We start from the raw sequence: 20,466 nt of genomic DNA on the forward strand, positions 1-20,466 counted from the left end.
CAAAAAAACCATCAGATCTCGTGAGACTTATTCATTATCACAAGAACAGCACAGGAAAGACCCACCCCCATGATTCAATTACCTCCCACCAGGTCCCTCCCAAGATGTGTGGGAATTATGGGAGGTACGATTTGAGATGAGATTTGGATGGGGATGCAGCCAAACCATATAATTCTACCCTGGCTCCTCCCAAATCTTAAGTCCTCACATTTCAAAACCAATCATGCCTTTCCAACAGTCCCCCCAGAGTCTTAACTCATTTCAGCATTAACTCAAAAGTCCACAATTCAAAGTCTTATCTGGGACAAGGCAAGTCCCTTCTACCCATGAACCTGTAAAATCAAAAGCAAGTTAGTTACTTCCTAGATACAATGGAAGTTAAGGCACTGGGTAAATATACCCATTCCAAATGGGAGGAATTGGCCAAAACTAGGGGACTACAGTCCCCATGCAAATCTGAAATCCAATAGGGCAGTCACTAAACCTTAAAGTTCCAAAATGATCTCCTTTGACTCCATGTCTCACATCCAGGGCATGCTGATGCAAAAGGTGGGCTCCCATGGCCTTGGGTAGCTCTGCCCCTGGCTTTGCAGGATGCAGTCAGTCCCCATCCTGGCTGCTTTCACAGGATGGCATTGAGTTTCTGGCTTTTCCAGGCACACAGTGCAAGCTATTGGTGGGCCTACCATTCTGGGGTCTGGAGGACAGTGGCCCTTTCTCACAGCTCCACTAGGCAGTGCCCCAGTGGGGAATCTGTGTGGGGGCTCCCACCCCACATTTCCCTTCCACACTGCCCTAGCAGAGGTTCTCCATGAGATCTCTGCCCCTGTAGCACACCTCTGCCTGGACATCTATGCATTTCCATACACCCTTTGAAATCTAGGTGGAGGTTTGCAAACCTCAATTTTTCCATGCACCCACAGGCCAAATGCCATGTGTAAGCCACCAGGGCTTCAGGCTTGCACCCTCTGAAGCAATGGCCTGAGCTGTACATTGGCCTCTTTTAGCCATGGCTGGGATGCAGGGCACCAAGTCCCAAGACTGCACAAAGCAGCAAGGCTCTGGGGCCAGCCCACAAAACCATTTTTTCCCACTAGGCCTCTGGGCCTATGAGGGGAGGGGCTGCTGCGAAGACCTCTGACATGCCCTGGAGACATTTTCCCCATTGTCATGGAAATTAACATTTGGCTCCTTGATACTTACACAAATTTCCACAGCCAGTTTGAATTTTTCCTCAGAAAATGGGTCTTTCTTTTATATTGCATCATCAGGCTGCAAATATTCCAAACTTTTATGCTCTGCTTCCCTTCTAAACAGAAGTTCCAATTCCAAACCATATCTTTGTGAATGCATAAAACTGAATGCTTTTAACAGCACCCAGATCACCTCTTGAATGCTTTGCTGCTCAGAAATGTCTTCCATCAGATACCCTAAATCATCTCTCTCGAGTTCAGTGTTCCACAGGCCTCTAGGGCAAGGGCAAAATGCCACCAGTCTCTTTGCACAGCAAGAGTGGCCTTTGCTCCAGTTCCCAAAAAATTCCTCATCTCCATCTGAGACCACCTCAGCCTGAACTTTATTGTCCATATCACTATCAGCATTTTGGTCAAAGCCATTCAACAAGTCTCTAGGAAGTTCCAAACTTTCCCATATTTCCTGTCTTCCTCTGAGCCCTCCAAACAATTCCAACCTCTGCCTATTACCCAGTTCCAAAGTCACTTCCACATTTTCAGGTATCTTTTCAGCAGCACCCCACTCTACTGGTACCAGTTTACTGTATTAGTCTGTTCTCACGCTGCTAATAAAGAAATACCTGGGACTGGGTAATTTATAAAGGAAAGAGGTTTCATTGACTCACAGCTCCACATGGCTTGGGAGGCCTTACAATCATGGCAGAAGGCAACACTGCTTCAATAGTGGAATACATCTGGACATATGTCTAAAATGTTACAATTAGGTTTTGATGTAGGAGGTAAGTGTAATAATAATTTAAATGCAAATAAATTAAACTCCACAATCAAAAGACATATAGTGGTGAGTGAATTAAAAATAAAAACCTAACTATACACTGTCCATAAGATACTCACTTTAACTTAAGGACACACATAAACTGCACTGAAAGGATGGAAAGAGATATGCCATGCTAACTGGGCACAGTGGCTCATGCTTGTAATCCTAGCACTTTGGGAGACCGAAGCAGGCAGATCAGTTGAGGCCAGGAGTTTGAGACCAGCCTGGCCAACATGGTGAAATCCTGTCTCTACTAAAAATACAAAAATTAGCTGGGCATGGTGGCAGATGCCTGTAATCTCAGCTACTCAGGAGGCTGAGGCAGGAGAATTGCTTGAACCTGGGAGGCAGAGGTTGCAGGAGCACTGCACTCTAGCCTGGGCAATAGAGTGAGACTCCATCTCAAAAAAAGAAAAAAGAGAAAAAGATATGCCATGCAAATAGTAAACAAGAGAGAGTAGGAGTGATTATATTAAACAAAACAGACTGTAAGTAAAAAACTGTCCTGTCACAGGAGACAAGGAAGAACATTTGTATTAGTCAGGGTTCTCTAGAGGAACAGAACTAATAGGATATATATATATATATATATATATATATATGTACATATATATGGACATATAATAAACTTCCATATATATTATTAAGTCACATGATCACAAGGTCCCACAATAGGGTGTCTACAAGCTGAAGAGCAAGGAAGCCAGTCAGAGTCCCAAACCTAAGAACTCGGAGTCTAATGTTCGAGAGCAAGAAGCATCCAGCATGGGAGAAAGATGTATGCTGGGAGGCTAGTCCAGTCTAACTTTTTCATGATTTCCTGCCTGCTTTATATTCACTGGCAGCTGATTAGATGGTGCCCACCAGATTAAGGATGGGTCTGCCTTCCCCAGCCCACTGACTCAAATGTTAATCTCCTTTGGCAACACCCTCACAGACACATCCAGGATCAATACTTTGCATCCTTCAATCCAATTAAGTTGACAGTCAGTAGTAACCGTCACAACATTGTATAATAATCAAAGGGTAATTCACCAGGAATATATAACAATTGTAAATATATGTGCACCCAATATCAAAGCATCTAAACACATAAAGCAAACATTGACAGAACTGAAGGGAGAAATAGGCAGCAATACAATAATAGCAGGAGATTTCAATACCCCATTTTCAATAATGGACAGAACATCTGGACAGGAGATTAATAAGGAAACAGGACTTGAACTACAATTTAGATCAAATGGCCATCACAGACATATGCAGAATAGTCCACCTAATAGCAGCAAAACACACGTTCTTCTCAGGCATATATAGGTCTTTCTTCAGGATAGATCATGTTAAGTCACTAAACTAATTTTAGCATTATTAAGAAGATTCAGGTTAGCCATGGTGTCTCACACCTGTAATCCCAACACTTTGGGAGGTCAAGGCAGGTGGGTCACTTGAGGTCAGGAGTTTGAGACCAGCCTGGCCAAGATGGTAAAACTCCATCTCTACTAATACAAAAAAATTAGCCAGGTGTGGTGGCGTGCACCTGTAATCCCAGCTATTGGGGAGGCTGAGGCACAAGAATCGCTTGAACTCAGGAGGTGGAGGTTGCAGTGAGCCAATGTCGCACCACTTGTACTTCAGTCTGGGTGACAGAGTGAGACTGTGTCAAAAAAAAAAAAAAAAGAAGAAGATTGAAATCGTATCAGGTATCTTTTCTGAATACAATGAAAACAAATAGAAATCAATAGAAGAAGGAATTTGGAAAATTCATAAACACATGGAAATTAACACACTTCTGAATAACCACTTGGTCAAAGGAGATATCAAAAGTTAAATCAGAAAATTCCTCTATAGACAGGCCGGGCGCTGTGGCTCATGCCTGTAATCCTAGCACTTTGGTAGGCCAAGGTGGGTGGATCACGAGGTCAGGAATTCAAGACCAGTCTGGCCAAGATGGTGAAACCCCGTGTCTACTAAAAATGCAATAATTAACCAGGTTTGGTGGCAGGCGCCTGTAATCCCAGCTACTCGGGAAGCTGAGGCAGGGAATTGCTTGAACCTGGGAGGCAGAGGTTGCAGTGAGCAAAATCACACCACTGCACTCTAGCCTGGACAACAGAGCAAGACTCCATCTCAAAAAAAAAAAAAATTCCTCTAGACAAACAAAAACACAACATATCAAAACTTATGGGCTGCAGCAAAAGCAGTACTAAGTTCATAGTGATAAACAGGTGCATTAAAACATAAGAAAGATTTGAAATAAACAACCCAAATTTATACCTTGAGGAAGTAGAAAAAAAAGAACAAAGTAAGCCCAAAATTAGCAAAAAGAAGGAAATAACAAACAGTAGACTAGGAGTAAATGAAATAGAAAATAGAAACATAATAGAAAAAAATCAGCACAGCTAAGAGTTGGTTTTTTGAAAAGATAACTAAAATCAAACTCTTAGCTAGACTAAGAAAAAGAAGAGTCAAATAAGTAAAATCAGAAATAAAAGAATAGACATTACAACTGATGCCACAGAAATACAAAAGGTCATAAGAGACTACTATGAAAAATTATAAGCCAACAAACTAGATAAACTGGAAAAAAATGGATAAATTGCTCATACAACCTACCAAGACTGAATCAGGAAGAAATAGAATGCCTGAACAGACCAATAGCTAGTATGGAGATTGATTCAATAATCAAAAACTTCCCCAAAAAGAAAAGTCCAGGACCAGGCTTCCATGGTGAACTCTACTTTAAAGACAAATTAATGTCAATCCTTTTTGACCTCTTCAGAAAAATTAAAAAGGAAGGAAAGGTTCTAAACTCATGAGGTCAGCTTTATGCTGATACCAAAGACAGACAAAGACACCACAAGAAAACTACAGCTCAATATTCCTAAAGAATATCGATGTAAAAATTTTCAACAAATACTAGCAAAACAAATCCAACAGCACATTAAAAAGATCATACACCATGACCAGGTGTAATTTATGCCTGAGATACAAAGATTTCAATATATGAAATCAACTAATCTGATACAGCATATTAGCAGAATAAAAAATAATCATCACATGATTCTCTCAGTTGATACATAGGCATTTCACAAAATTCAACATGATAAAAACGCTTTGTTGATGAAAATTTCCAACACATAGTAATAGAGGGAAATGATCTCAACATAATAAAGTATATATGCAAAGCCCACAGCTAACATCATACTCAACAGAAAAAAATTGAAAGTTTTTCCTCTAAGATAAATGAGACAAGGGTGCCAACTCTTGCCGCTTTTATTCAACACAGTACTGGAGATTCTAGCCAGAATAGCTAGGCAAGAAAATGAAATATAGGCTGGGTGTGGTGGCTCACACCCTATAATCCCAGCACTTTCGGAGGCCGAGGCGGGCAGATCACCTGAGGTCAGGAGTTCAAGAGCAGCAGCCTGGCCAACATGGTGAAACCCCATCTCTACTAAAAATACAAAAATTAGCTGGGCGTGGTGGCAGGCACCTGTAATCCCAGCTACTCTGGATGCTGAGGCAGGAGAATCACTTGAACTGAGGAGGCGAAGGTTGCAGTAAGCCAAGATCACACCACTGCGTTCTGGCCTGGGTGACAGAGCAATACTGTCTCAGAAAAAAAAAAAAAAAAAAGGAAAATGAAATATAAGACTTACAATTGGAAAGGAAGAAATAAAATTGTCCCTGGTTGCAGATGACATACTCATATATAGAAAACCCAAAGACTTCCTTTAAAAAAGGTTAGAACACAATTATTACCATGACTCTGATGTAGCGACAATATCAACACATTTCAAAAGAAAATACCCAGATAATTTGTCCTCTTTGAGGGCAGGGAACATGTCTTAGTCATGTTTGTTTACCCAGTACCTACAAAGAGCCTGAAACAGTAGACAGTGAAGGTAAATGCTTGCTGAGAGAAGGTTGTAGTATATTACCATATTGATAAATTGTAGTTTTTGAATATTCATGGAAATAAGTGGCATATAGGCCAAGAACTATTATTATATACTTTTATTAATGTAAGTTTAAGTAACAGAGCACAATGTTGATTTAGTTGGTGGTAAATAAAGCTGGCAACTACCTCACAACAAAAAATTTAAAAATTCAAAAATTAAAAAAGGTCAGAGCAAGTAAACAAATTCAGTAAAGTAGTAGAATACAGAATCAACAAGGATCAATTGCATTTCTGTACACTAACAATAAACTATCTGAAAAGGAAATTAGAAAAATAATCCCATTTACAGTAGCACCAAAAATAATAAAATACGTAGGAACAAACCTACTAAGGAGATGAAAGATTTCTATTCTAAAAACTACAAAACATTGATGAAAAAAGGTGCACAAGACACAGGAAAATGGAAAGTTATCCCATGTTCATGGATTGGAAGACTTAATATTATTAAAATGTTCATTCTTCCTGAAATGATCTGCAGACTCACTGAATTCCTATCAAAATCCCAGTGGCATTTTAAAATAAAAATAGAATAAATAATTCTAAAATTCATATGGAGCTATAAAAGACCACAAATAACCAAATCAATCTTGAGAAAGAACAAAACTGGAGGCACTACATTTTCTGATTTCAAAATATATTACAAAGCTACAGTAATTAATACAGTAGGTACTGGCATAAAGATAAACATAAACCAATGGGACAGGATAGAGAGCCTCAAAATAAATTCACACATACACAGTCAACACACCATTCTCCTGCCTCAGTCTCCCGAGTAGCTGAGACTACAGGTGCCTGCCAACATGCCCGGCTAATTTTTGTTTGTATTTTTAGTAGAGATGGGGTTTCACCGTGTTAGCCAGGATGGTCTCAATCTCCTGACCTCGTGATCCACCTGCCTCGGCCTCCCAAAGTGCTGGGATTACAGGTGTGAGCCACCGTGCCTGGCCATCTTTATTTATTTTTAATTAATTAATTAATTTTTTTGAGACAGAGTTTCACTCTGTCACTTAGGCTGGAGTGCAGTGGCACAATCTTGGTTCATTGCAAACTCTGCCTCCCAGGTTCAAGTGATTCTTCTGCCTCAGCCTCTCGAGTAGCTGGGATTACAAGTGCACGCCACTACGCGTAGCTAATTTTTGTATTTTTAGTAGAGATGGGATTTCGCTATGTTGGCCAGGCTGGTCTTGAACTCCTGACCTCAAGTGATCTGCCCACCTCAGCCTCCCAAAGTGCTGGGATTACAGGCATGAGCCATTGTCCCTGGTCTATTTTTAATTTTTTTTGAGAGACAGAATCTGACTCTGTTGCTCAGGCTGGAGTACAGTGGCACAATAATGGTTCACTGCAGCCTCGAACTCCTGAGTTCAAGGATCCTTCTGCCTCAGCGTCCCCAGTAACTATAATTACAGGCATGTGTCACCAGGTCCAGCTAATTTTTAAATTTTTTTGTGAAGATGGGGTCTCACTGTGTTGCTCAGACTGATTTTAAAGTCCTGGCCTCAAGTGATCCTCTCTTCTTGGCTTTCCAAAATGCTGGGATTACAGGCATCTGTACCTGGCCCAGTCAACAGGTTTTTGACAAGGGTGCCAAGATAACACAATGGGGAATAGATGTTATCCTAAACAAATGGTGCTGGGAAAACTGGATATCTATATGCAGAGAATGAAATTGGACCCTATACCTGTAATCCCAGCACTTTGGGAGGCCGAGGCAGATGGATCACAAGGTCAGGAGATTGAGATCAACCAGGCCAACATGGTGAAATCCCATCTCTACTAAAAATACAAAAATTAGCTGGGTGTGGTGGTGCATGCCTGTAGTCCCAGCTACTTGGGAAGCTGAGACAGGAGAATCGCTTGAACCCAGGAGGCAGAGGTTGCAGTGAGCTGAGATGGCGCCACTGCACTCCAGCCTGGTGACAGAGCAAGACTCCGTCTCAAAAAAAAAAAAAAGAAGAGAGAAAAGAAATTGGACCCTTATCTAACGCCATCCACAGAGTAAACTCCAAATGTGGTCTAAGTGGTGGTGCCTATAATCTCAGCTTCTTAGAAGGCTATGGCAGGCTGGGCACGGTGGCTCACGCCTGTAATCCCAGCACTTTTGGAGGCCGAGGTGGGCAGATCACCTGAGGCGGGAGTTTGAGACCAGCCTGACCAACATGGAGAAACCCCGTCTCTACTAAAAAATACAAAATTAGCTGGGTGTGGTGGCGCATGCCTGTAGTCCCAGCTGCTCGGGAGGCTGAGGCAGGAGAATCACTTGTACCCGGGAGGCAGAGGTAGCGGTGAGCCGAGATCGCGCCATTGCACTCCAGCCTGGGCGACAAGAACGAAACTCTGTCTCAAAAAAAAAAAAAAAAAAAGAAAAAGAAAAAAAAATAAGGCTATGCCAGGAAGATCAATTGAGCCCAAGAATTCAAGACCAGCCTGGGCAACATAGAAAGACCCAGTCTCTTAAAAAAATAAAAATAAAAATAGATTAGAAACATCAGACTCAAAATAGTAAAACTCCTAGAAGAAAACGTTAAAAGCTTCATGACTTTGGTCTTGGCAGTGATATTATGGATATGACACCAAATGCACAGGCAACAAAAGCAAAATAAACAATAGTCTGGATGTTCCTCAAAAAACTTAAAGTAGAACTACCATTTATCCAGCAATCTCCCTTCTAGGTCTTTGTCCAAAAGAATTGGAACCAAGATCTTAAAGAGATATTAGTACTCCTATTTTCATTGCAGCACTATTCATAATAACCAAAATGTGGAAATAAACTCAATGTTCATTGACAGATGAATGGATGAAGTGGGCAAATACATACAATAGAATACTATTCAGCCTTTAAAAAGAAGAATTTCTGCAATATGAGACAACATGGATGAACCTTGAGGACATCATGCTAAGTGAAATAAGCTAGTCACAGGAAGATAAATACTGCATGGTTCCACTTTTATGAGATATCTAAAATAATCAAATTCATAGAATCAATGAGTGAAATGGTAGTTTCCAAGGGCTGGGGGAAGGAGGAAATCGGAAGTTACTAATTAATGGGCATAAAGTTTCAGTGAAGCAAGGTAAATAAGCTCTAGAGATCTGCTGTGCAACATTGTACAATTTCAATAATGTATTATTTTCTTAAAAATTTGTTAAGAGAGTCCAGGTGTAGTGGCTCACGCCTGTAATCCCAGCACTTTGGGAGGCTGAGGCGGGCAGATCACGAGGTTAGGAGATCGAGACCATCCTGGCTAACACAGTGAAACCCCGTCTCTACTAAAAAATACAAAAAAAATGCCAGGTGCCTGTAGTCCCAGCTACTTGGGAGGCTGAGGCAGGAGAATCTCTTGAACCTGGGAGGCAGAGGTTGCAGTGAGCTGAGATTGTGCCACTGCACTCCAGCCTGGGTGACAGAGCGAGACTCCGTCTAAAAAAAAAAAAAAAAAATTTGTTAAAAGAGTAAATCTGCCAGGCGCGGTGGCTCATGCCTGTAATCCCAGCACTTTGGGAGGCCGAGGCTAGTGGATCACGAGGTCAGGAGTTCAAGACCATGCTGACCAACATGGTGAAACCCCGTCTCTACTAAAAACACAATAATTAGCTGGGCGTGGTGGCAGGCGCTTGTAGTCCCAGCTATGTGGGAGGCTGAGGCAGGAAAATTGCTTGAACCTGGGAGGCAGAGGTTGCAGTGATCCGAGATCGTGCCACTGCACTCCAGCCTGGGTGACAGAGTGAGACTCTGTCTCAAAAAAAGGAGAGTAGATCTCATGTTAAGTGTTCTTGCCACAAAACATGTTTTAAATATAAAAGGGAGGATAGTGCCTAAATCAAGAAACTTGAATTGACACAACTTATTCCAAAATCCCTGGGAGATTTCTACTTCTTTAAAAAGAAATGTGCTATCTGTAAGGTCACTCTTAGCTGCAAGAGAGACAGGATATTTTTAAGTTTACGTTGTCATCCAAACTTGAATTGGATTTCTGTTACTAAGGAAGAAGCAGAAAATGGATATTAAGCAGGTAATTTGTCATAGTCCATTCATTGGACTGTGAATGGCTTAACACACCATATTGTAAATATATTTTTTGAAATCTGTTTCTTTCCCTAGACTGTAAGATCAGGACTGATTTTTTTAAATGTCTGTATCCCCTCATTTGGCAAAGTATTTTGCACATAGTATATGCTAAGTATTTATACATGATTTGCTATTGAATGTTTCCTGTGGATTAGTTTATTATGAGTAAAAATTAGGAAAACTTTATTACCAGCAAAAAGTAGGGAGGAAGTTAGGAAAAATTATCACTAAAAATGTTAGCATATGTGACTTCTTCTTGATACTTTTAATTTTTGTACTAATTAATTGATTTTTAGTATATCATAAAAACCCTATTTCTTATATAATTATAAGGTAACTTCAGAACATAAAAACTTACAAGAATATCACAAGTATCTTAGTCCATTCATGCTGCTATAACAAAATACCATAGTGTGAGTGGCTTATAAAAAACAGAGATTTATTTTTCAAAGCTCTAGAGGCTAAGAAGTTTAAGATACGATACTGGCAGATGCAGTGTCTGGTAAGGGTCTACTTCCTCATAGACAGCTGTCTTCTCATTCTAACCTCACACGGTGGAAGGGCTGAGGGTTCTCTCTCAGGCCCATTTTATAATGGCAGTAATCTTATTAATGAGGGAAATAACCCTATAATCTAATAATATCCCAAATGCCCCGCCTCCCAATACCATCATTTTGGAGGTGAGGAGTTCAACATTTGAATTTTGGGGGAACATAAACATTCAGACCACAAGAACAATAATTTATTTGTTTATATTAAAAGGAACCATCTTCTCTGCCTCACAGTTTTCCTACCTGGCTCTTAAAATAGAAATATGTTTCTTTCAGAACTATAGAGTCAAGAGGAAATTTCATCTTTCTTTCTGCCACTTTCCCCAAGTGGAAGGAGTTTTGTATTTAATTGGTGATTTGGGGAGAAAAACATAAAACCCAAGCCATTTCTTGCCATCTTTTTCAAATCTTCCCACCCACAAGAAATTATATTCTGCTCAGTTCCTCAATATATGTCATAAACTAAAAACACACGGATTAGGGCCTATGCTTGTCTTCTAGAACAGGCCTGAGGCCTAACTCTCATTCTTTCTACTGTTGATCTCACCAAGCAGAAACAGTGATTCTACACAAGTCTATCCATCGTGCAGACTCAAATTCTCCTGTGGCGAGTCATCACCCATTTGGACTTAGGAAGTATTTGACCAGCTTGGCCAACATGGTGAAACCCCGTCTCTACCAAAAATACAAAAATTAGCTGGGCATGGTGGCAGGTGCCTGTAATCCCAGCTACTCGGGAGGCTGAGGCAGGAGAATTGCTTGAACCCAGGAGGCAGAGGTTGCAGTGAGCTGAGATCACGCCACTGCACTCCAGCCTGGGTGACAGAGTGAGACTCCGTCTAAAAAAAAAAAAAAGAAATATTGAAAAACCTGGTCATGGTTGTATATTATAATACATCCAATCAGCTTTATCTTAGGAAGCTTTTTTGAAATGAAGTCTCACTCTGTCACCCAGGCTGGAGTGCAATGGCATAATATCACTGCTCACTGCAGCCTCTACCTCCTTGGCTCAAGCGATCCTCCTACCTCAGTCTCCCAAGTAGCTGGGACTACAGACATATGCCACATGCCTGGCTAATTTTTCAAACATTTTGTAGAGATGGAGTCTCCCTATGCTAGGCTGATCTTGAACTCCTGGACTCAAGCAACTCTCCCACCTCGGCCTTCTGAAGTGCTGGGCTTATAGTCATGAGCCACCATGCCAAGCCGAGAAGTTGGTATTTTATCTTTTTGGCTTCCTATCAATTGGGTCTGAATTCAGGGAAGAGTTAAGATGTGTGAGCAGCTATCACTGCCTAAGCCCCATTAATGACAGGATAGTAATACATTTTTTAATAGGTAACTCTAACCAAAAGTAGTTGTTTTATGAGAACCTAGGTCTAGCAAAAGAAATAAACTTAAATCTTGCCAGTCTAACAATAAGGGAATAAAATATCCCAGCAGCCAAGTGTGGCAGCTTATGTCTGTAATCCCAGTATCTTGGGAGTCCGACACAGGAGGATTGCTTGAGCCCAGGAGGTCAAGGCTAAAGTGAGCCTTGGTTGTAGCACCATGTTAAAGCCTGGGTGACAGAGTGAGACCCTGTCTCAAAAAAAAAAAATTTTTTTTGTTTATTTATGAATGCCTACTGTGTGCAAGGCAGTGTTCAGAGGAGAAGTTTAAAGAGTTAGAATACTAATACTTTAAACAAAAGTTACCTGGTACTCTAATTTTATTGTTTGAGTTTTGAATTGCTATAATGATCAAGGCAAAGAAATATCATAATTATAACATTTGAGTGCTTATGGCTTGTCAAATGAGCAGTTTCCTGCGAAACAATATCTGATTGAATCCTCAAAACAACTCTGTGAGACAATACATGAGAATAGTCTAGGTTGTGCTGCAGTTGGGAGAAAAAGCAAATGTTTAACAAAAAGTTAGCTCTGGCTGCAGGCAACTCTCCAGGCAACTGTCTTCCATGCAACAACGTGATAATCCAGGCAGCTTCAACCTTGTGGTGCTGCCATCTTAAGATGAATCTTTTTCCATGGTTGCCACAGTCGGGAAAGAAAAAAATTTCATATCGACCTTTTACTGCCACATCCTGAAGGTGACACACGTAAAATCTACAGTTTTCACTGGCCAGACCAAGTCACATGGCTCCATTCAGTTGTAGGGTCGCTGAGGAATACAGTCAATCCACTGAGTGGCCAGAAAGGAAAGAGAAGTAAATATTGATTAACAAAGCAATATGTAGCATAAATAGCTATTATGACTGTTGTTTTTATATAGGTGAAGAAATGTAGGCTTAGAAAAATTAAGTTATTCATCCAAAGGTACATATAAGGTAAGTAGGGGAGCCTCAGCATATGGACCTATCTGACTCCAGAGCCTGTGCCTAACTTCTATCTTCCATTACCTCCCAGCACCGCACTGGAAGCCTGGCAGAACCTAGCCACCACTAGGGATATTTAATTCAATTCATATACATTCAGTTCAATTCAAATCAGCATATATTTGCTAAATGCTTTCTCTTTGCCAGGCATTGCAGCTGCATCTGGAGGAGGGTTGAGCTATTTCACCATATAGATCTCCTACGACTTTGAGACTGTGATGTAAAGAAATAGGCAACTGTGATGGTTATTTTATTTGACAACTTGGCTGGGCTGTGGTACCCAGATATTTGGTTAAACGTTATTCTGGATGTTTTGGTGAAGGTGTTTTTGGATGAGATTAACATTTTAACCAGTGGATTTTAAGTAAAGCAGATTACTTTCCATAATATGGACGGGCCTCATCAATCGGTTGAAGGCCTTCATAAATCAAAGACTGACCTCCCCAGAGAAGGAAGGAATTCTGCCAGCAGGTTGCCTTTGGACTCAAGCAGAAACTGAGTCCCCACAATCATGTGTGCCAATTCCTTAAAATAAACATCTATATCTATAATATCTATATGTATACACATTCTGTTGGTTTGGTTTCTCTGGACAACCCTAACTAATATAACAAGCTTAAAAATTAGTTCTATAAAACAGGGCTAAGAAATGATTCTTTATTATACTTTAAGAACAAGATCCTCTGCAATCCCTATTTACTTTTATCTTTGAATGTTAAGTAAAAATAGCAGAATTCTAAAATAACCTACAGAAATAAGTCAAGATTCATTATATTTTCTATAATACAAGAAGTTTTACAAAGCTATTCATCATAAAATACATAAATTTTTGCAAGGAACCTTGTGGACTGAAAAAACAGCCAAAACAAATCTGCCACATACAGGCCCCAGAATGTGGTTTTATAATCTGTCCACTTAGGAAACTGTTCCAATTATCTTCACAAATTCAGTATTGTGAGAATGTGTCTAGGTGTTAATTATCATTTTAGAAGGAAGTCAGCTCTCCTACACAGCTAAGAATGCTAACAGTCTCCAATTTTAACTTGTTCTCTTATACAAGATGCTGTTTTGGGAAGTATTTAGTTGCCCCCTGCTGGCCATACAATTGCAGGATTCATTTTTTAAAAAGTTCTCAGTAGATTGCAGATGATAATGATAAACTTCTGAAGAGATGCATTCAACTTTTTCATCAGATGAATTCACAATAGACTTCCAATGCTCAATTGAGATACGTAAGTTAATAAAAAAAATTTTTTTCCCCACCACCTGGTATAGGGTGAAATGTTCCAGCAGGAAGACTTTAAGCTAGATCAGTGGGAGAACAGGATGAGATGTAGGAGGAGTGACTGAGGGGCTTCACAGGCTCCCTTTCTTCTTTAACTTTTGTTTTAGGTTGAGGAGTACATGTGCACGTTTGTTATATAGGTAAACTCATGTCATGGGGGTTTGTTTTACAGATTATTTCGTTACCCTGGTACTAAGCCTAGTACCCAGAAGTTATTTTTTCTGCTCCTCTCTCTTCTCTCACCCTCCACCCTCAAGTAGGCCCCAGTGTCTGTTTTTCCCCTGTTTGTGTCCATGAGTTCTCATCATTTAGCTCTCACTTATAAGTGAGAACATGCAGTATTTGGTTTTCTGTTCCTGTGTTAGTTTGGTAAGGCTAATGGCCTCCAGCTCAATCCATGTTCCCACAAAAGACATGATCTCATTCTTTTTTATGGCTGCATAGTATTCCATGGTGTCTATGTACCACATTTTCTTTATTCAGTCTACCATTGATGGGCATTTAGACTGATTCCATGTCTTTGCTATTGTGAATAGTGCTGCCCAAAATTCCTAAACACAATTTTCTTTCTATAATACTCATGTCATATTTTATGTCTCTTCATATCCTTTTTAAAACCATATGGAAATAATTTACCAAATTGAGAGGAAAAAAACACTTGTTCAAGAAGCTTAAAAACTATATTTTTATCCTGTCTCTGCTACTAACTCTCAGGCTAATCTTGAGCAAGACTCTTTAACTTTTGGCAGTGATAAATATGTTTACAAATTTTGATTTTCATTCCCGAAAGTTTCTTCATGCTATTTTGTAATTTCTTCTTCCTGCCACTCTTGGGACTTTCCCATCCTCAAGTTACCACTGATCCACTCTCTGTCACTGCAGATTAATTTGCATTTTCTTGATAAGAAAATTATTTTATTTTATTTATTTATTTTTGTTTTGAAACAGAGTTTCGCTCTTTTTGTCCAGGCTGGAGTGCAATGGCGTGATCTCAGCTCACTGCAACCTCTGCCTCCCAGATTCAAGTGACTCTCCTGCCTCAGCCTCCCAAGTAGCTGGGATTACAGGCACGTGCCAACATGCCTGGCTAATTTTGTATTTTTAGTAGAGATGGGGTTTCATCATGTTGGCCAGGCTGGTCTCAAACTCCTGACCTCAGGTGATCTGCTAGCCTCGGCCTCCCAAAGTGCTGCGATTACAGGCATGAGCCACCATGCCTGGCCGAAGAAAATAATTTTTAAGCTTACTAGCTAAGACACTTTATAAAATGAGATATGGAAAAAATGTAAATGCTTTATAAATATTTTTAAAAATTGAGTTTCCCTATCTTGAAACCTGAGGTGCAGTGTGATGCAGTGGTTAAAAGCTTAACCTTGGGGCCAGGCACGGTGGCTCACACCTGTAATCCCAGCACTTTGGGAGACTGAGGCAGATGGATCACCTGAGTTCAGGAGTTCGAGACCAGCCTGGCCAACATGGTGAGACCCCATCTCTACTAAAAATTTAAAAATTAGCCAGGCATGGGGGTGCATGCCTGCAATCTCAACTACTTGGGAGGCTGAGGCAGAATAATTGCTTGAACCTGGGAGACAGAGGTTGCAGTAAGCTTAGATAGCACCACTGGAAAAAAAAAAAAAAAGCAAAAAGCTTAAACTTTTAAGCCAGCAAATGCGGGCCTAGGTCTTGGGTCTTGGCTCTGTTATTTACTAGCTGTATGATGTTGGGCAAGTTACTCAACACCCTGAGGTTAACAGTTTCCCCATGCTTAGAGAAACAGATAATAATAGCATCTATCCTCATAAAGATGTTGTGCAATTGCATACAAAACACTTAGCTCAGTGCTGGGCCTGTACATAAAAAACCTCAGGGTTGACTACCAATGGTAGTCATCTATCTTTAGACATTTCAAAGAGCATCACCTTAATTCTAAGAAAAGGAAATGAGAAATGAGAACCCTGGCCATGCAGCCAGTGCAATCCTAAGGCAATCATTTTAGAAATGTTTTGTGAGGATTATCATAGTTCACTGTGTCAGACATGGTATCCAGCTGACTCTGACTCAAGCCCTTTTCTTAAGCACCCCATTGGTTTTCTTTCCTCATAACTCTTTCTCCAAGTGTCATGGTATCCCTTTCTTTGTAATTCCATTCCTCCCCCTCAAACATATGACCTGACAGTCATCTCATTTCACCTTTGTGATTTGACATATAACTTGGCCAGAGCAGAGTGATAGTCATCACTTGAGATGGCAGGCATGGTGGAAATAGAGATAATTGAAGAAACAAGGCTTATTTGTGAAAAATGTTCTTTAATAGTTTTATCCCTTGTATTCAAGTACTTCTGTTGCTCTTTTTTGAGCTCTGCCAGGTTTACACTTATTAAATTTCTCTCCCTACAATGGAAACTACTTGAACCCCACTTGCCAGCCTAGCCCAATTTAGTATCTTGGGCCAATTCTAATTTTATGAAAGAGAGAGTTAAGATGCTGTATCTTGAGATTTGCATAGAGAAAGCACCTTTAGCATGCTTTCTTCCATGAACTTTTAGCACTGCCTCATTATAGTGTAGAGAAATATATGGGTAGGGGGTAATTAATTTCTGAGGAGGAGAACCTCCTGCCTACCATCCCTCCTAACTTGTAGCATACCATTTATACAAGTTTATTCTCTTCTGCTATCTTAGCCTGGCTTCTTCCCTGAAATCGGAGTCTGAGACAATAACTTCTGTGCGGATAGTTGATTTTGGGAAGAGATCCCAGTGAATAGGAGTGAGGGGCTAGGAAAATTAAGACATGAAAGGAAGGAAAGCTAACTCAAGAATACATTAATCAATCTGAACATTGTTGTAGGTAACTCAGGCTCATTTCTCTGGATCTTTGAATAGCTACCTAGAATTGTCTGCCTTCCCCCAATGTGGCAGACATATCCTAAGGTAACCCCCAATGATCTCTGCCTTCTGGTATTAATGACCTTCTTTATGCCCCTCACCGTAAGACTGGGTAGAACTTGTGAACTGCTTCCAGCCAGAAGAATAAGGCAAAGGTGATAGGATGTTACTCCCATGATGTAATGTAATACATGCATTACAATATATGACAAATGTGATGGGATATCACTCCCATGATTATGTTATATTATGTAAGAATCTGTCTTGATAGCCGACTCACTCTCTCACTTTCCTGCTGGTCTTGAAGAAACAAGTTGTCATGTTATGAACTGCCTATCGGAGAGGACCATGTGGCAAAGAACTCAGAGGTGGCTTGTAGAAGCTGAGAGCCAACAGAAACAAAACAAAACAAAATCTTGAAGCTCTCAGTCCTGTGACTGTAAGGAAATGAATTCTCCCAACAACTTGAGAGAGTTTGGAAGAAGATTCTTCTTTCTTCAGGCTTTCAGATGGGAACATGGTCCAACCAACACCTTCACTGTAGCCTGGAGAGACCCCAAAGTAGAAAACCCAACTAAGGTGTATCTGGACTCCTGACCTACAGAAAGAGAGATAGTAAATGTGTGTTATTTTAATGTGTTCAACTTGTGTTAATTTGTTACATCGAATTGGAAAACTAATAGAGATTTTGGTGCCTAGAGGTAGAATGCTACTGTAATAAATATGTAAAAATATGTCTGTGGCTTTGAAACTGATCAGTGGACAGAGACTAGAAGAATGCTTGAAAAGTATGATAGACAAATCCCAAATCACTGCGAACAAACTCTCAGTAGAAATGTGGATATTGAAGACTGCTGTTGAGGACTCAGAAGGAAGTAAGGAACATGCTATAGGAAACTGGAAGAAGGGAGATCCTTGTTATGTACTGGCGTAAAGCTTAGTGAAATTATTTCTTGCAATTACGTTGAAAGCAGAACTTGTAAATGGATGAATTTGGTTATATAGTTAAGGAGATTTCCAAGCAAAGTGTTGAAGGGGACAACTGGTTTCTTCTTGCTACTTACAGGAAAATTCAAGAAAAGAGACAAATTGAGAGAAGAACTATTAAGCAAAAAGGAATCAGGACTTGATAATTTAAAAAATCCTCATCTTCCCCAGATGGCAAAAAATATTAACAGTTGGAGATGGCTTTTGGGCACTGTCAGAAAAGCCTACTCTAGAGAAAATGCACTTGAAGTTACTCTATAATCTTTTTTAAAGCCCCCAAAAGATCAAAGGTCAGAGTACTCAGGGGTATTTCAAGATACGGCCCTTAGATTTGAAAAGATCTAAGGGTATGCCTCAGATCCTCTCAATCACACTATTGAGCCTCTAGGAAGCTTAAAGGAGATGGAATTATTTTTGAAACAATCTGTAGATGTGGCCTTTGTCTGATAAGAGTGAATGCCACTGAAATACAGAAAGAACCACAACATTCTTGAGAAAATTATTTCTGCAGAAACAGTGCCAACTTGGAATAAGACAGACAGAAAGACTAGAAAATGAAAAGAGGCTGTCAGACCTCCAAAATTTTACTGGCAGAAAGCAGGCTGATAAAACTACTCATCTGCAAACACATGCTACCTTCCATGAAAAAGGAAGAATGACTCAGATGGTGGAACCAAGAACCCAGAAAGCAGAGCCAAGAGCCATGAAGAATCATTCCCAAGCCTAGAAACTTAATTAAGGAACTTCCAATAAATCCAGTTGTATTTCAAAACTGCTATAGACTAGTGACTCCTTTTTACTACCCATTTCCCCTATTTTTAAACTGGAATGTCTATAGCTATTATCCTGTGTCTGTCCCACCATTGTATGTTGGGTGTGTTGGAGGCAGATAACTCATTTCCTTGGTTTCAGAGGTCCATAGTTAGAGAATAATTGTGTCCAGGAGCTTTACTTAACAGGTTATACGTAGGAGGCTCATCTGCACCTGGACTTGATTCACATGATGAAATTTTAGAATTTGAGCTGATGCTATAATGAATGAAACTCTTGGGAACTGATATGGTTTGTCTCTGTGTCCCCACCCAAATCTCATCTTGAATTGTACTCCCACAATTCCCATGGGTTGTGGGAGGGGCCCTGGTGGGAGATAATTTGAATTATGGGGGAGGTTCCCCCATACTGTTCTCATGGTAGCAAATAAGTCTCACGATATCTGATGGTTTTATCAGGGGTTTTATCAGGGGTTTCCACTTCTGCATCTTCTTCATTTTCTCTTGCCGCCGCCATGTAAGAAGTACCTTTCACCTCTCAGCATGATTCTGAGGCCTCCCCAGCCATGTAAGTCCAATTAAACCTCTTTTTCTTCCCAGTCTCAGGTATGTCTTTATCAGCAGTGTGAAAACGGACTAATACAGGAACCTTGGAAGGGGAGAAACCATATATTTCATATGGGAGGGCCTGAGGAAAGACTGGCAGACAGAACCTAGGCTGATTCTCCAATGACCCCCACTTTCTGATATCAATGCCCCTGTTAATTACATCCCATGAATATGGGAGGAATCTGTGAAGCATCTAACTTATAGAATATGGCAAAGGTGACAGAATGGCATTCCTATGATAACATTATGTTATGTAAGACTTCATATTGCTAGTAGACTCTTCTGCTGGCCATGAAGAAGCAAACTGCTATGTTGCTGCCTATGGAGTAGACCACATGGCAGGCAACTTGAATGGACTCTAGGAGCTAATGGCATCCTCCAGCTGACAGCCAACCAGCACACTGAAGCTTTCAGTCCTATATCCTCAATGAAATAAATTCGTTCGGCAAACCATATGAGCTTGGGAGCAGATGAGCTTCCCAATGAGAACACAGCCCACCTGATGCATTGACTCTAGCCTGGAGAGACCTGGAAGCAGAAAATCCAAATAAGCTGTGTCTGTACTCTTGACCACAGAAACTGGGATATAATACATGTTATTGTTTTAGGCTGCTAGATTTGGTAACTTGTTATCCAGCAATAGATTACAAGTGCAGTCAAAGATTGTCCCAGAGAGTGTTAACTTCTTTACTCTTCCAGGTTGTACATGCCTAAGCGCAGAGTGGGTTCTCATTGGCATCCATGCCATATCATCAGAGCAGCACAGGTTTTGAAATGATAAATATGTGGTACAGTTGCACAAAACTGGTTGCCATAGCAATAGTTGGTATAAAAGGTAGGCTGAAAGGATGTGAAAAAGATTATTCTAGTTTGTCTCATCCTGGCTACCATTTCAGGGAGTCTGTGTTGCTTGACTGGGTGGGGGCAACCAGATCATCATCTCTGAAGGGTCTGAACTCTAATTCTTGCTC

At 40.4% G+C, this 20,466-nt stretch overlaps 1 long non-coding RNA gene across 2 annotated transcripts in view, besides 2 other annotated features; it reads left to right on the forward strand.

Moving 5' to 3' along the window:
- Positions 1-20,466, forward strand: part of LOC105369850 (uncharacterized) — a 55,530-nt gene that overhangs the window by 13,043 nt on the left and 22,021 nt on the right. Inside the window, exon 4 of one of the 2 annotated variants that reach the window (NR_188080.1) lies at positions 17,437-18,888. The exons of the other annotated variant lie outside the window; for it this stretch is intronic. This is a non-coding gene — a long non-coding RNA (uncharacterized LOC105369850). Of the gene's footprint in view, positions 1-17,436; positions 18,889-20,466 lie in introns of those variants that run through there. 2 annotated transcript variants of the gene reach the window in all.
- Positions 11,061-11,261: a silencer, noted in NCBI's record as "peak1843 fragment used in MPRA reporter construct". NCBI's record gives its function as "represses an SCP1 promoter by STARR-seq MPRAs in K562 erythroleukemia cells {active_cell/tissue: K562}" and the evidence as "EXISTENCE:reporter gene assay evidence [ECO:0000049][PMID:32103011]".
- Positions 16,211-16,411: a silencer, noted in NCBI's record as "peak1844 fragment used in MPRA reporter construct". NCBI's record gives its function as "represses an SCP1 promoter by STARR-seq MPRAs in K562 erythroleukemia cells {active_cell/tissue: K562}" and the evidence as "EXISTENCE:reporter gene assay evidence [ECO:0000049][PMID:32103011]".

The sequence above is a fragment of the Homo sapiens genome, chromosome 12, assembly GCF_000001405.40.
Source record: "Homo sapiens chromosome 12, GRCh38.p14 Primary Assembly".
NCBI lineage: Eukaryota > Metazoa > Chordata > Mammalia > Primates > Hominidae > Homo > Homo sapiens.